Source organism: Homo sapiens, chromosome 9 (genome assembly GCF_000001405.40).
Source record: "Homo sapiens chromosome 9, GRCh38.p14 Primary Assembly".
NCBI classification, from domain to species: Eukaryota; Metazoa; Chordata; class Mammalia; order Primates; family Hominidae; genus Homo; species Homo sapiens.
The window spans coordinates 3,879,120-3,893,576 of record NC_000009.12 but is presented as its reverse complement, the minus strand read 5'-3'; the positions used below and the strand labels follow the sequence as shown (position 1 = coordinate 3,893,576).

General features: G+C 41.5%; 1 protein-coding gene across 12 annotated transcripts in view; it reads left to right on the top strand.

The window, feature by feature from the left end:
• Nucleotides 1–14,457, top strand: part of GLIS3 (GLIS family zinc finger 3) — a 666,339-nt gene that overhangs the window by 596,889 nt on the left and 54,993 nt on the right. For all 12 annotated transcript variants that reach the window (XM_047422890.1, XM_011517763.3, NM_001438912.1 and 9 more), the window contains one exon: nt 13,982–14,150. In XM_047422890.1, coding sequence (XP_047278846.1) covers nt 13,982–14,150 — 169 coding nt within the window. The remainder of the gene's footprint in view (nt 1–13,981; nt 14,151–14,457) is intronic.

The window sequence follows — 14,457 nt, the reverse complement described above, 5'->3', positions numbered from 1 at the left end:
AGTATCTAGTTCTGTTTCTCACTACATAAAACCTATAGGTGGATATTTTGCTTGTCACCCCACAGCAGCGTTATAATGACACTGCTCATATTTTGATTAAGAATGAGATCTTATAACCACTCAGCTGAAGAAAATGAAGACTCTGATTCCCAGCCAGCACAGGGCTCATCTGCATGTTTGCAGTTAATGTTAATGCCTTTAGATGTTTGCAGGCTGCTTAATTTGGTGCTTCAGTTTTTCATATCCACTTAGTCCCTTGTATTCATGTTAGTTTTTCATGCAAGATTAAGCTGAATTACCCAGTTTTACAATATGTGCAAGTTTTGCCGTAAAAATATTTTTGTAGGTGAGCAAAAACAATTCCGTACCTCATTGAGGAGGAGAGGCAAGTAGCGAGGCTGGGCAATTGCGGCTTTATCCTTATTGGGAAAAGTATTGGTTATTTTTGTATTATTATTTCTCCTATCGGAAGGTAGAGGGTGGGAGGAGGGAGAGGATCAGGAAAAACAAGTAGACTTAATACCTGGGCAGTGAAACAATGTGTACAACAAACCCCCATGACACAAGCTTATCTATATAACAAACCTGTACATGTGACCCTGAACTTAAAATAAAAGTTAGATGTGTATAATTTCACCAGTGATCAACTGGCACATGAGAAGAGAAGGCTGAGTCTATTATACTCTGAGGTGTACCTGAAGCAGGTCTTAAGAAGGTGGCAAAACAGAGAATTCAGGATAAAATTTCTGAAATGAGAAGCTAATACTTTTTATGGTTAAGAGGTTATAGACCAGACTGCTGAGTCTAAAGTTCTGACTTTCTGCTTCAACTGAATTTGCCTTCCAAGGAAAGAAAAACATAGGTGGTTATGTCTCTTTCCTGTGAAGAGTAAAGAAAAAAAAAACTGTTCCTATTCAGGGTGTTTGTAGCCACAGTGAAATTTCATCTTTTTTATACTTGTATGGGTACTGAAAATCTTAAGAATAGCAAAGACTCTAAATTAAGGGACATTAATGAATTATAACTTGGATATTACTTGCCATATTTTACAGTAATAAGAGAGCATATTGCAGGCACTGAATAGAGGGTATTGTGGAATTTATTCATTCCACGCAGCTATCAGCACTGTCCCAGAATACTGGCTTTTATGCTGTCTTCCTCAATATTGTCATGGGCTGATCTGCCCTGCTCAGGTGCCCCGGCCGTGACTCAAACCATTAACACTGCCTTTACAGCAGGCATTGATTCATCAGAAGTTGCAGCTGCCTTCTTGGAGTCTTATTGGAGTCTTAGTTTTTCTACCTAAATTTCCAGGCTGCTTTTTTTTTGCCTTGCTTCTAGAACTCCCTATTTCTAGCTGTGACCTGGGTTTGCTCCTGAGACTCCAGTCCCGTTCTCTCTAGTGAACTTAGCTGCTCATGTCCTGCTTCTACTCTCACTACCCATCAGCCCTGGATTTCAGAGTTGAGTCTTACCCTGGCGTTTCTACTAACACCTAGTCCTACCTTAAGAAGTGAGGGGTCTGTAAGCTTCACTGGAACCTTTTCCTTGGGGACGTAGAGAAAGTCCTTTTTTCTACCTTCTAGGAGTGAGTGGCTGCAGAAAGGGGAACTCTTCACGATTAAAAAGAAAATGTGATAAAGTCTCATCAACGTGCATAGGAATTTGCTCCTCAGGCTGGTTCACAGGGATGCCTATGAAGCATTTCTGAGAAGTGGATGTACTTCATGAAAGATGCGATGCATCAGCTACCCTACAAGATTTTGCAGTTGGGAAAGTAATGATCTAGGATTCATAGTTCTGGAGGACTAAGGCAGTTCGGAGTCATAGCTATACAAAAAGCAAGAATGGACAATATTTTGTGTCTTTTCTTTTGAGACAGGATCTTGCTTTGCCACTCACGCTAGAGTGCAGTGGCATGATCATAGCTCACTGTAACCTTGAACCCCTGGGCTCAAGTCATCCTCCTGCCTCAGCCTTCTGAGTAGCTGAGACTTCAGGTATGTGCCACCACACCTGGCTAATTTATTTTTAAAATTATTTTGTGTAGAGACAAGGTCTTGCCCAGGCTTACGTCAAACTCCTGGACTCAAGTGATCCTCCTGCCTTGGTCTCCCAAAGTTCTGAGATTACAAGCATGAACCATGGCAGCGGCTCTTTTTTCTTAAATTACGTTACTGACCACGTTTTGTACAATCCCTGTGATCATCGCTTTAGCCAATCTATGCTCAAATGTAACATTTATAAATGGAAATGACACTTCTTCCTGTAACCCGAATTTTCCTCTTAGTGCGATCAACTGCTGGATTAAATGACATAAAGAGTTCTTTAAACATAGTAAGTGTTCAGCACCTAATAGTTGTAACTATTGTTGCTTTTATCTAAATACTATAAAAATACATGCTATAGTTCTGAAAATTAGAGAACAGATGCCACAGATTACCAATTACCTACCTTTTCCTCCTCCTCCTCTTCCTCCTACTTTCTTCTTCTTCTTTTTTTTTTTTTTTGAGGAAGGAAGGAAAAGTGGAAGCCTAAAAGTTTGGGAATACAATCAACATCACTCAGTAGAATAAAAGAAAACTGAAATATGTTTCTTTACATTTTGTATTCCACTACTTTGCCAGTAGTTCACATGGCATTTTTTAATTAAGGAAATCTACTGTAGCTCTCTAAAGAAAAGCAAATTGGAATTACAAAGCCATCACTGGGGTGGCAATGCCCCCAAACTCACAATGTCAAAATTGTGTTTTGATGGTTACTAGGGTTTGGTCATTCAAAAGTAGTGTTGTTGGTGGGTTTGTTGTTGTTGTGTTGTTGTTGTTGTTTGGTTTGTTTTGTTTTTTAGAGACAGCGTGCTATGCCAGAAAGAACGTGGAGCTAAATCTAAACTCCAGTTCTGGATCTCCAGTCCCTAGATGTTCAGTTTGGGGAGGTTACTTTTCCTTTTCTATAATAATAATAATACTGACTCCATAGGACTGCTATGAGAACTAAATGAGATAACATAAAAGAGTTTAGTACACTCCCCGGCAATTGGCAGATGCTCATGTTCTTTTCTCTTTTTTTCTTTCCTTCTTGCTTAAAATGTTGGATTATTAATTGTGAACAAAGTCAATGTCTGTGGCAGTGAATAGAACCCCTTCTATCCATGTCTTTTATGCTGGGTGCTACTACTTGGTAGTCAGTAATGGATGTGCTGACATAAAGCGTTCCTTCCAAGAAGAATTTAAGTCAAGCGGAGGGCTGGAGCTTCTGTATTCTAAGGCCCATTTTCTGATCTGCAAATTAGACTTTTGTTGTTGTTGTTGTTTCCATGAAGAGTAGAAGTATCCTTATACTGGTTGTACAGAGTGCCATTGCCTGCTTGTAAACTGAATTTAATGAACAGTGAATTTGTGAGAGTGAGGCAGGTGGAAGAAAGGAGAAATGGGATTGATGGCCTCGGCCAATGCAATTTTACATATTCCTTGTTTTGGTATTGCTGGGATGTAGCCCTGGTCCTGATGTCATTTTGTAAATAGGCTCTTCCAGGCCATGTCATTTATCTCAAAATATACTCTCAGGTGTCTAAAAAAACTGTTCTTGACTGTTGCTTACCTCAAATTTAGTTTTCATATTTCAAAAACAGTTCCCTAGTCTTTTCATGATGGTTCTTAGTAGTTAGCATGCAACAGTTATTACACTGAGAATCAGCAAACTATGGCCCATAGGCCAAATCTGGCCTGCCCCGTGATTTTGCATGGCCTGAGAACTAAGGATGGTTTTAAGATTTTTTAATGTAAAAAATTTTTTAAAAGTTATTAGCCTTTAGGTGAGAACAGTTGCCTGAAGAATGTGAACATTGCCTCTTTGCCTGCAAAGCCTAAAATATTTTCTGTCTGCTCCTTTGCAACAAAGGTTTGCCAAGCCCTGTTTTATACTTACATCTGAGACATTCATCAAAATGACTGAGTGAAATCAAGGCATCCATAAAGTGGATTAATTGAAATGAATTAAAGAGGAGAATGTATTATAAGACAGTTTAGGATCATGTAATACATGCAGATTTTATCATTTTATTGATCCCCATAATATTTTAGATTTAGCAAATACTTTAGTAGTCTTCTAGTCCATGGGTTTTTGGAGACTTTTTAAGGCCCAATATTTAAAACAGATAATGGCAAAGCTGTTTCCATTGAAGGCATCCAGAACTCATGTACTATCCAATACTCATAGGTCTCCCAGGGCACTCTATGGAACCCCAAAAGTAGTGGCCCTCAAATGGAACTATTACTGGTTAAAGGCAACAAATTGCAAGAAGACACCTGCAGAAGCAGCCTGGGCCATTGTGGGAGCACTGACTAACGTGGCTCTCACTTAGGAAGAAACTGCCTCAGGACAGGTGGGGCTCCATTCTAGTTATGAGGTGCTAAAGGCTGGCAAAGAGATCAGAGGCAGGGGCAGTCCTGGTTTTATTCTGCCCAAGATTTTTTTTCCTAGAAAGGAAAGTATCTCAAATTCTTGAATATCAAGGGTTATGTTTTCGAAAATCTAAGCCTCTCCTAGACACATAAATTAAAGCCTAAAGTAAAGCAAATAATTGAAATATTGAACTTTAGGGACCCATCTAGTCACATTCTAACAGGGATGTCACATGCTTCCTCAAAATATATTTTCTAGCAGCAACAAGGATGTTTGAAATGGATATAACTGAAGGCTGAACCCTCCATTCCAGATACAGATAAAAGCCTTTACATAAAAATTATTTGAAAAAATGTTGTATATGGGCATAAACTCATGACAGCACGTGAGTACCTTCTAGCATCTATCTTGAGAGTAAAGTAAGCTAGGAGGTAACCTGAAGCGCCTGATGGCCAAATGGAAGATTGTGGTCAGAGTGTGAATAAAGGAGGAAAGGGGGTTCTCTGGAGTCATAACAAAACCAGCTTCATTGTCGATGCAGTTTCGCCCAGGGCTCATGATAATCGAAGAAGCTGTGAGCTCCTCGCTATAGCGTAATTCTCCAGAAGGGCTGTTGTTACTTCATTTTACACATCTAGGAAAGGGAGAGGCTCTTTGAGAGAGTTCAGAGTTGATTGATAGGTCATCCCTTGACTTTGGCTAGAATAATAGTGCATTAAAAATCAGATTGGCTGTCTATGCTAAAAATCTGTTTCCAAGAAGCCTTCACTGTGAAGTGATTTTAGAAGTCACGTGAAAGTAGAGTGGGTGGGATTGTCTCAGCATGCTCTGAAAGGGAGGAAATATCTTTTGTGGTCAACATGGTACAGGTAGGAGATAGTTGAGGCATGAGTAATGAGGAGATTGGGAACCCAGTATTTTTTACTGCAGCTTTGTTTTTTGTGGCCAAGTAAAACTTTTATTTCCAAAAAAAGGTGAGGGATCTTTCTGTAAGAACTTCCAGGAGTGATTGGCCACGTCTACCCCGTCTTTCTCCTTTTTTTCTGCCTTCCCACTCTGCCCCAATGAGGGTTAACATAACACACAGACCAGGAGGAAATGACAGATTTCCCACAGGGTAGTCTGAATAGTTTGCTTGTTCCAGCTATTTTACTGACTTTCTGTGTCATGAATCCTTCGAAGGTGAGTAGCAGGTAGGTTGGGAGGTGGAGAAAAGACAGAAAAGGTAGGAGATTTGAGGTTAGCTGTGTCATGCATTGCTTGGAAAGATCTAAGAGGGCTGTGTGAAAGGTTCATCCCAGAGAAGTTGATAGAGCTGCCAGATGATGCCATTCTACTGGTAACAAAATGTCTTTGTTCTGAAATGCAGATGTTTCCAGAGCTTTTCCTAACATGAAGTTAATTAGACCTGGTATTTAGGAATGCTTGATGGTACCTTTTGACATTTATGTGGATGGCATCAGCCATTATCTTCTAGTTGTATTGCAGGGTACTCCAGAGAAGCATATAAACCTGTATCCTCTTCCACACACTAACACCTCTTCCCTGGCTATAAATCCAGCTGCATGATGTGGAAATGTAATTGAGCAGCCTACGCAGAAGTTTGGAGCTCATGGGGGAATATCTGTTTGTAAGAGAACCTGAATATTCATGTAGCTGTCCAGACATCAATAAATTCTCATTTTGCTTTATTTATTTCTGTTCCCTAGAGAATAGCAGCACGCTTAAGCTCAAAGTTAATAGGCATGTTCTACAGAGCCGTGCCCTCACTTACCTTAATAGAACATCTCCCTAACACATTTGTTTATCCGTTGCCAGGTAGCTCTCCCATCAGGTGACATGAATATGTTTCCTTTGTCTTGGTGCATGGGAGACAGTTGCCAATGTTTGCTGTCAATTAGCTTGTGGTAGCATGTCAAGGATGTACGGGTGGTGTCATTTTAGTCTGACAGCCACCCGATCCAGTTGAGAAGGGATTGTTTCATTATCCTCTTATCAGGGCTGCTGGATAATGATAGTCTACACTGCAAAGTGGGAAGGAAAAAAAAGACAGGCAGAAATAATAGATTTTTAGGGATTGGCAATATTAAAAGTTTTCATGCCACAAGGAGAAGGGAAAGATTAGAGAGATGACTGTGCCAACCCTTAAGAAGCTACTTTTTCCTAATACAGGTAGGATGTGGAATGATGCCCTTCCTGATGCAGAGGCAGGGGAAGGGGGGAAATGATCAGACATTAAGAAGAAGGAAAAAAGAAAACCAGCTCCTTCTACTCATTGGCAGCAAGGCTAAGATTAGCTGAGGCCTCTCTCTCGTTCTCCAATTAACCTCAATACCAAACGCAGCCTTCCAAGTGACCCTGACAGGGCATTTTCCTTGCTAGAAATCTCTTTCTGGTTTGTGAATTTAGGTTCAGAGAGCATTTTTCATTGAAGGACAACACAATTAAATTGCTCCAAGGTGAAATGCAAAAAGACCGCAGAAGGTACCAGACCTTGTATTTTCACTATTGGGGGCCAAAACTTGAGTCACCCCCAATATTGGTAATTTTCTTCAGAATGCCTGAAGGGAAAGTCTTTCTTGACTCCTGAAAATTCTGGATCTTTATGCTCTTGGAGAAACAAACAAAAAGAAGTGCTGAAAGTGTAAAAATACTTCAAGATAAACTAAGCTTCAAGAGGGACAATTGTGTTGACATTTTAGTAACAGCCCATTTTCGCTCCTTAACGAAGTGCAGTCATGCATGAAAATGACTTGTTATCTTTTAAACTGAAATGCATTATGGGTTGTAACTCAAAAGGTGTGTATTACTCTACTCGTGCAAAATAAAGTACATTTTAACCCTTGAGGATTCTTTCACAGGCCCCACTTCATAGCAACTCATATAAAAAAAATAGAACAACAAAAAGCTTATTTGAGAATGGTATGTAAACTCTTCTGCATTTGTAAAGTAACACCACAGTTTATATTTGTATGAATTCTTCCATCTGTAGTTTAGATAGGAGGTCATACTTTATTCGAGATTTACCATTTGGGAGCAACATGTACCCTTATCTTTCCCTAGTTCTATTAATAATGGTAATAATTACAATAATATAAGTAGCCAAATAATAGCAACAGTGGTTTCTTGAGCACTTGACTGGCGTTCAGGCATATGCTCAGTGTTTTCTGCTCATTCTATAATCCTCGTCACAGTCCAGTGAGGTATTATCCTTATTTAAGATGAAGAAACTTAGGTTAAGTGATTTGCCTAGACACATTGCTATTAATAGCTAAGGCTAAGATTCTAATTCAGGTCTATCTGTCTCACATTGTGTATGCTTTGCTTTGTTCTGTTAATAACCACACTGACAATGTCTCTATAAAGTGCCCGATTTCTGATGAGGCTGAGGGAATCAGAATTTCTGTTGTCCAGCTGTTCCCGAACTTTTCCCAGCTCTAAAATTCTCCAGGGAGAGAGACAAAGAGACAAGATTGAACTCACCATTCACATGGGGCTTCTCATTCTTTTCAGTGTCCCTGTGAAAGCTCATTTACCCTGATTTCATTGATTAGCTTATCCTCCGTGCCTTGACCCTGGAAATACTGCCCAAGAGATGAATGGTGAGCCAACACCTCTTCCCATGTTCCAGCCACCAAGCAATAATGTCATTTGTCAGGATCTCAACATTACTCTAGCACTACTTATACGTGAATTCACAGTGTGTGGGTAATACCGGTTCCCCCTTTTCTATGAGAGCAAGCCTGCATGAGGAGCAGCACCATGGCCATAATGCAACCATGAATGACTCCAACGCAGATTTACAAAGCAGCTCAGTGGTTGCAGATCTGCCCGGTAAACCTCCCCTTGGTGCATTATTGACAACTGGTGGCCTTTCAGCCCAGAACATCATTCTTGCTTGTGGTAAAGGATGCATATAACTAATTGCTCACGAATAACCCTTCCTTGCCTTCCTTCTTTTCCTAGCAGTGGATCAATATGCCTCTAGCAAGTATCTGAAATCTTTATTTGGGAAAAAGCACATTTCCTACCAGCTGTTTGCTTTCTAAACCAAATAATTCAGTTAATTTCTTGCCTGAAGTAATTTTCAGAGCTGGAAAACTTCTCTCTTCAATGCTGAATTGCTTTCAGGATGGGCAGAAACAGAAATGGGAATATCCTTTTTGCACTCTAACCCACAGTTTGATGGCTACAGCTGCTTGTGTGTTGTTTGTGGTGGGGGATTAGTGGCTATTGGCAACAAGCAGCCTTTGCAAACAGAGTGTTCAGGGGCCCTGACACAACACTTTTATGTGTTTTCTTGAATCTGTCTTGCCTTTGGGAGGCAATATAGGGTGGTGTTCTGGGTCATGTGATCTATTAATAAAATCAGGCTTCCCGGATTTGAATTCCAGCCCCGCTATTTGCCTGCCACGTGACCTAAGCCAGGTAACTTAACCAGGAACCAGAAGAGGCCTCAAGTTCCTCATCAGCAAACTGGGGAAATGTTTATAAAGAACTTTGCACATTATAAATGCTCAATAAGTCTTAACTATTGATTCCAAGGTATCAAGGGGCAGCAAGAAGATGAAATGAAGCTGAGACAGGATCCCCAGCACCTACTACTCAAAGTGTAGTTTCCATACCAGCAGCCTCAGCACCCCCAAGACCTAGTGAGTCAGAATCTGTATTTTACCTTGATGATTTATTTGCACATTAAAGCTTGAGAAGCAGGACTCTTGCTGCTCACATAGTTTTAAACAAGAATGCATATTGGCTGTTTTTAATATACCTTAGCCTGACAAGGGAGGTCTTCATCCTTTCCCTCTGAAGTGATGAAAACACAGTTACCAAGCAATGCCTATAGTAGCCTTCCTCCGCTCTGGTGATGGCCTGAGACAAGTAATCTTTATTTGGGGATGCTACTAACACTCTTGGCCTCCCTCCATCCACACAATAAATATGTTACAGCTGAAGTAACCCCAAGGGTGCCCTGTTTATACCCATTAGAAATATAGATTAATGGTTTTCATTTGGACAAAGAGAACTGCATACTAACCAAATTAACCTGAGCTAAAGGTGCCAGCCTAGAATGCTCTGGTAGCCTATGAGATGGCATCTGAGAACCACATAGATCAACAGATGCTGCTTTGTTAAAATTATAAAGCTCAACTGAGTTACCTCCACCTACCTCTACTGTAGATGGATGAGAGACTGCAGTGAGCCAGGCCACTAAGAAAGAGAAAGCCCATGGCAGCAGGGAGGCCAGTAGCTGGCCTCTGCTGAAGACAAGGCTCACGTATTCATCTCAAGAACAGGATTTTATTTCCTCAGGGAGACTACCATCTCTTAATCACAAAAGCAATAAGAATTTCCAATATGTTCCTCTGCTGTGCTTAATCAGTTGTTCCAGCTGCCAGTCATCAGGTATGTCTGGAAGTTCACTTAGAAGCCCTCTTGCAGCCTTGAAAGCAGTAATGACCCCGGAGTTGACACAGACAATGAAGGCTGCTCCTGTGGGCAGCCTGTGTGTGTCGGCTGATTTGATGACAACAGTTTTGTTAATATTGCCCTGTATCCTGGAGGGATCAGCTCTCTTCCTTATGTTTTGATCGATAGGCCACAATTGTGTGCCCTATTCGTTGAGTTTGGAAAATTATTTTGAATGTGTATGAAAGGAAGTTTTTCCTTTTGCGAATGACATTACAGTTTTACTCTAAGGTGGAGATTTTCTTCCTGAGGTTAAAAATCACTTGGCAAAACCTGAACATTTGTCTGGAACCATATGTTGTGGTGGGAAAGTCTGTATGAAGTCGGCAGATATTCAGACTTAAAACATTAATGGAGATTAGCACCTGCCTGGTGCAGAGTAGGTGCTGGAAAATTGTGTTTGGAAGAATGAATGCATAAAAGAATATTCCTAGACTGTAGTAATTAATAAAGATTGAATTCTGGATGCATGACTGTGATATGGTCAGAAATTCCTAGAAATCAGGATAAGTAAAAGAGCATTTCCTATGCCACAGTGGATCATTGGCAGAGACCAAGGACAATTCTGTTGAAGCCACAGCTCTCTGACTCCAGAGTGTTGTCCATTTTTTTTGAAGGGTATGTGAGATGGGGATTGGATAAATGTTGGAAAGCATGCTTGTGTCTGTTGTTACTTCCTCCAAATTTCTGGTCATCATCTTGGTCACAAGCAACGTCTACAATGAGCAGTCATGGCCTGGACTTGGCATGCAAAGTGCTGTCATGTAGACACTGACTTACAGGCTTCTACTAGGTTGTAATCTCACCTTCTCACCAGAAGTAAGATTTTCCTATACTATAGAAAGTAAAGGCAAGTCATAGACCTTGTTTTCCAGAGAAGTGATTTCCTCCACCCTAGATAAGAAGTACATTTTCCAAATCCAGTTTTTAAATTGAACCCTAAAGCCCTCCCTTTCTTGTTCTCATGGGGCCGTAAAAGAGGACCACTGCCCATTTCTGTCCCCTTCACCAGCCATAGCATTCAAGGGAAGGGCTATGGATGTGGGCTTGACTGGTGGTCAGTCAACACCAGTTGACGTGGGCTTGACTGGCAGTCAGTCAAACCAGCACAGCTGGAGGGCATATTCTGGAGCCCTCAGCCCTATACCTGACACCTCGTGTGCCCCACCTAGCATCCCCTTCACCACCTGTTTCTAGTGGCCTTTGCTAATGCAGCCAGCTAATGCACCAGCCGTAGCATGGTAGCACCTCTCCTCAACTGCACCATGTCCCTCTGGCTTTCTTCCCTGAGGCTTCTCTGATACCCTGATGTTGGGTATCTGTGAGAACATTTAGCCACTCTGGTACACGTGCCCCTCAAAGTGTGAGCAAATTAATCTTGACCAATGGCGCAACCGTCAACAAATGAAAAATAGGAGTTGGTGGATAAATGTTCCTTTCTGTCCCTGTCCTAGTCACTGAGCCCCGAGATTCCATGGGCATTTATATCTTGTTCATCTTTGTTTACTCAATGAACATGAACTGATGCTGTTTGGAGATACCAGGCACCGAGGATGTCTTGTTTCCTGTCCCAGGACCTAGCTTCATGTCTGCCAAATGATAGGTACCCTATACATATTTGTGGAATAATTGCCCGCTAAGAGAAGAATAAAAAGAACACAGTTAACTCTGCATATAGAGCAAATGTAATGAAGTAAGTAGAAAAAGGTAGAGGACATCACAGAAAAAAGCTCAGTAGTATAAATTGTCATAATACATTTGAGTGTGGTCAGTTGTCTGGTTTGGCCAGAGCTTAGGATGCATTGTGGGGCCACAAATGAGTGCATTAAAGTGCTTTTAACACTGTCCAATGATTTATACTAATAGGTCTTGGTATTTTGGTAAAATCGATATATAGAGGTCTGCTCCCTTCATTAAATTACAGTTTCCCCAAGGGCAGGAACACACATAGAGTATCAAGTACGTAATAGACACTTATCAATATGGAATATAAAAATAACGGCTGAATGATAGATGGGTGAACAGATGGATGATGGGGCAGGTGGATGATGGATGGTTTTTCCTGGCTGTTAAATGGGATGAAAGAGAGGTCCTAAACCAGGCTTAACTCTGAGCGAGTGGCAGGCTACAAACAATCCCCAATTTCCCAGCCTATGTCATTGTAGCTAATGCCAAGTATAGCTAATACAGACCTCTGAGAAGCAGCACACTTTCTGTTGGACCATAGAGTAGAGCACAGAGTGTGCACACCAAGTTTCCTTGTTGCCCATTGGGTTGTAAACAGCAGGGGCAATGCTTCCCTTGTGATGAACACATGCACATACATACAAAAAAACCTCTGGGGAAAAATAAATACTGGGTGCATTCAGCAACTACAACAAAATAAATAGGAGAACTCACATTTCTACACTGAAGCAGGAAAAAAAAAAGTTAGCTGTGTTTTCATAGTATCTCTATGACCTTTATTATTCCATTAGATTTTGGAATAGTATATAAAACACCAAGCTCCATGCTGACAAACACCAGTTTTGAAACTATTGCCACAGTCAATCCAAACAGCCTTCTCCCCTGAGTAAAATTATTATTTGGAATACAAGCAGAATTGTGGTTCCCTGAGCTAGCTGAGCATAAATGAGGTTAGTGATTCATAAGGTGACTCTAGTGAGTTTGCAAATATGCAACTTGTATGGAAGCTGACGCACACAACAGAAGCTCAGCCTTGCCTTTCTGAACTGGTAAGCATTTTCAGGCCTCACCACCTCTTTGGAGGACTGTGGTAGGTACAGGCTTCTGAGGACAAGAGTTAACCTGACAGAATGCTGATTTACCAGAAATAAACCCTTCAAATCAGATCACACCCTTGTCAGTAGCTTTTTGAGCGGGAAGATGGTAATTCTGCCTCTTCACATGTTCCTTGAAATACTTGAACTCTTGTTCCATTGGATTAAGCTTTTGGGGGCTAGGTCATCTGGGGTACTTATTCTATCCTGGAGAGGTTGGGGAAAAGTGGTACTGGTATAAAAATACAACTCCCTGAACTTTTAAACCCTCAAATCTTTTCGATAATGTGGCTTCTCTTTCTTAATCCTGAACCTGATTTATTTTTTTAAAAAATCCATTTATTCTTTGATATTAGTAGAGTAAGTTCAAAAAGAACAGAAATGGGTATGGAGCTCAGCATAACTTTGTACAAAGAAGGAAGTTAAAGAGAATCAGCCTAATGCTGCTGCTATGATTGCAGCATAATGAGATGTCTACGGAGTAGGTCCCAGACACTGAGGGAACCTTTCTGATAGACTGTGAAAGTGACAAGCCCCAGTTTCTTCTGTGACATCGTACCAATTAGCTGATCTAAATGGGCACGTATTCACGTTTGAGGTCACATACCGTTCTCGAAGGCTAGGCTGCCCATACGAATGGGACTGTAACTCACTCTCTGTGTCATAACGGGCAACAGTGGGGGGAGATCCCGAAGCTGTGTTTTCGTAGTTTGAGAGACTCCTTTGATGAAGGCCAAGTATATTCATCACACCATCAGGAAAATTCCCTGGGTTAGTTAGACTCTAAAGTTAAAAGGGTGCAGGATCCTACGTTCATGCTAGGATCAGGGAAGCTCCAGTTCTCATTACATTGATTTAGCAGTGACAGAGAGGGGCCCCAGCTGACCTACCGTGGCTCACTGCAGCAGTGAGAAGAGGAAGAAGGCCTGTGCTGTGCCCTTCTCAGTCAGCTGACCAAATATTCTGTTACCTGACTCTCATCCCCTGTGACTGAAAAGTGCTAATACAGAGACCTTGGCACAGATGCAAACAGTACAAGACTGACTAATTATACAGTGTCCAGACAGGGAACTGGCAGGGCATGGCAGCACTTAGGAGACAGACCGTGAACATCAGCCTGAAGCGAGCCAGACGTGAGCTCCGGAGGAACCTGTTCCACCATGAAAATAAAAGCTGTGTGTACCCAAGAAGGGGAGAACTGTTCCCTGAAAACCACTGAGAGAAAAACAAGCAAGCCCCTCAAATATGCTTGCTGTCAGGCTTCGGTATTTAAAAAACGTGGGCTTCCTTTGGGGCACGGTCTCATGTTTGTTCTCCCTTGATTTCAGCTCCCATTTTCTCCAGCAATTATTCAAGCCGAAGTGGAACAGCTGCTGGGGCCGTACCACCCCCACATCCTGTCAGTCACCCTTCTCCAGGACATAATGTACAGGGGAGCCCTCACAACCCCTCCTCCCAGTTACCTCCACTCACAGCTGTGGACGCAGGAGCTGAGAGGTAAGGCCATCTGTCTCTCTCTCCTAATAGGTGTCGCCGCCAAACCTCCCTTCACAGACAAGTGCCTTGACAGTTGCTGAATTTTATTAATAATCCGTTGGTGGGTTGAGTTACCCAAAGGTGACATTTTAAAAGTACATACACAAAGCACGTGGACCAAATATCTCATTATCTGTTTCATTTTTCCACGGGAAAACAAATGAAATGATACTGGCAATAGCCAGCCAAAGTTTCAGATGCTGGAAACACACCAGAATTTCCCTGTCTTTCTACCTTTCATCGGTCTGTTTCAGAGACCCAATTTTAA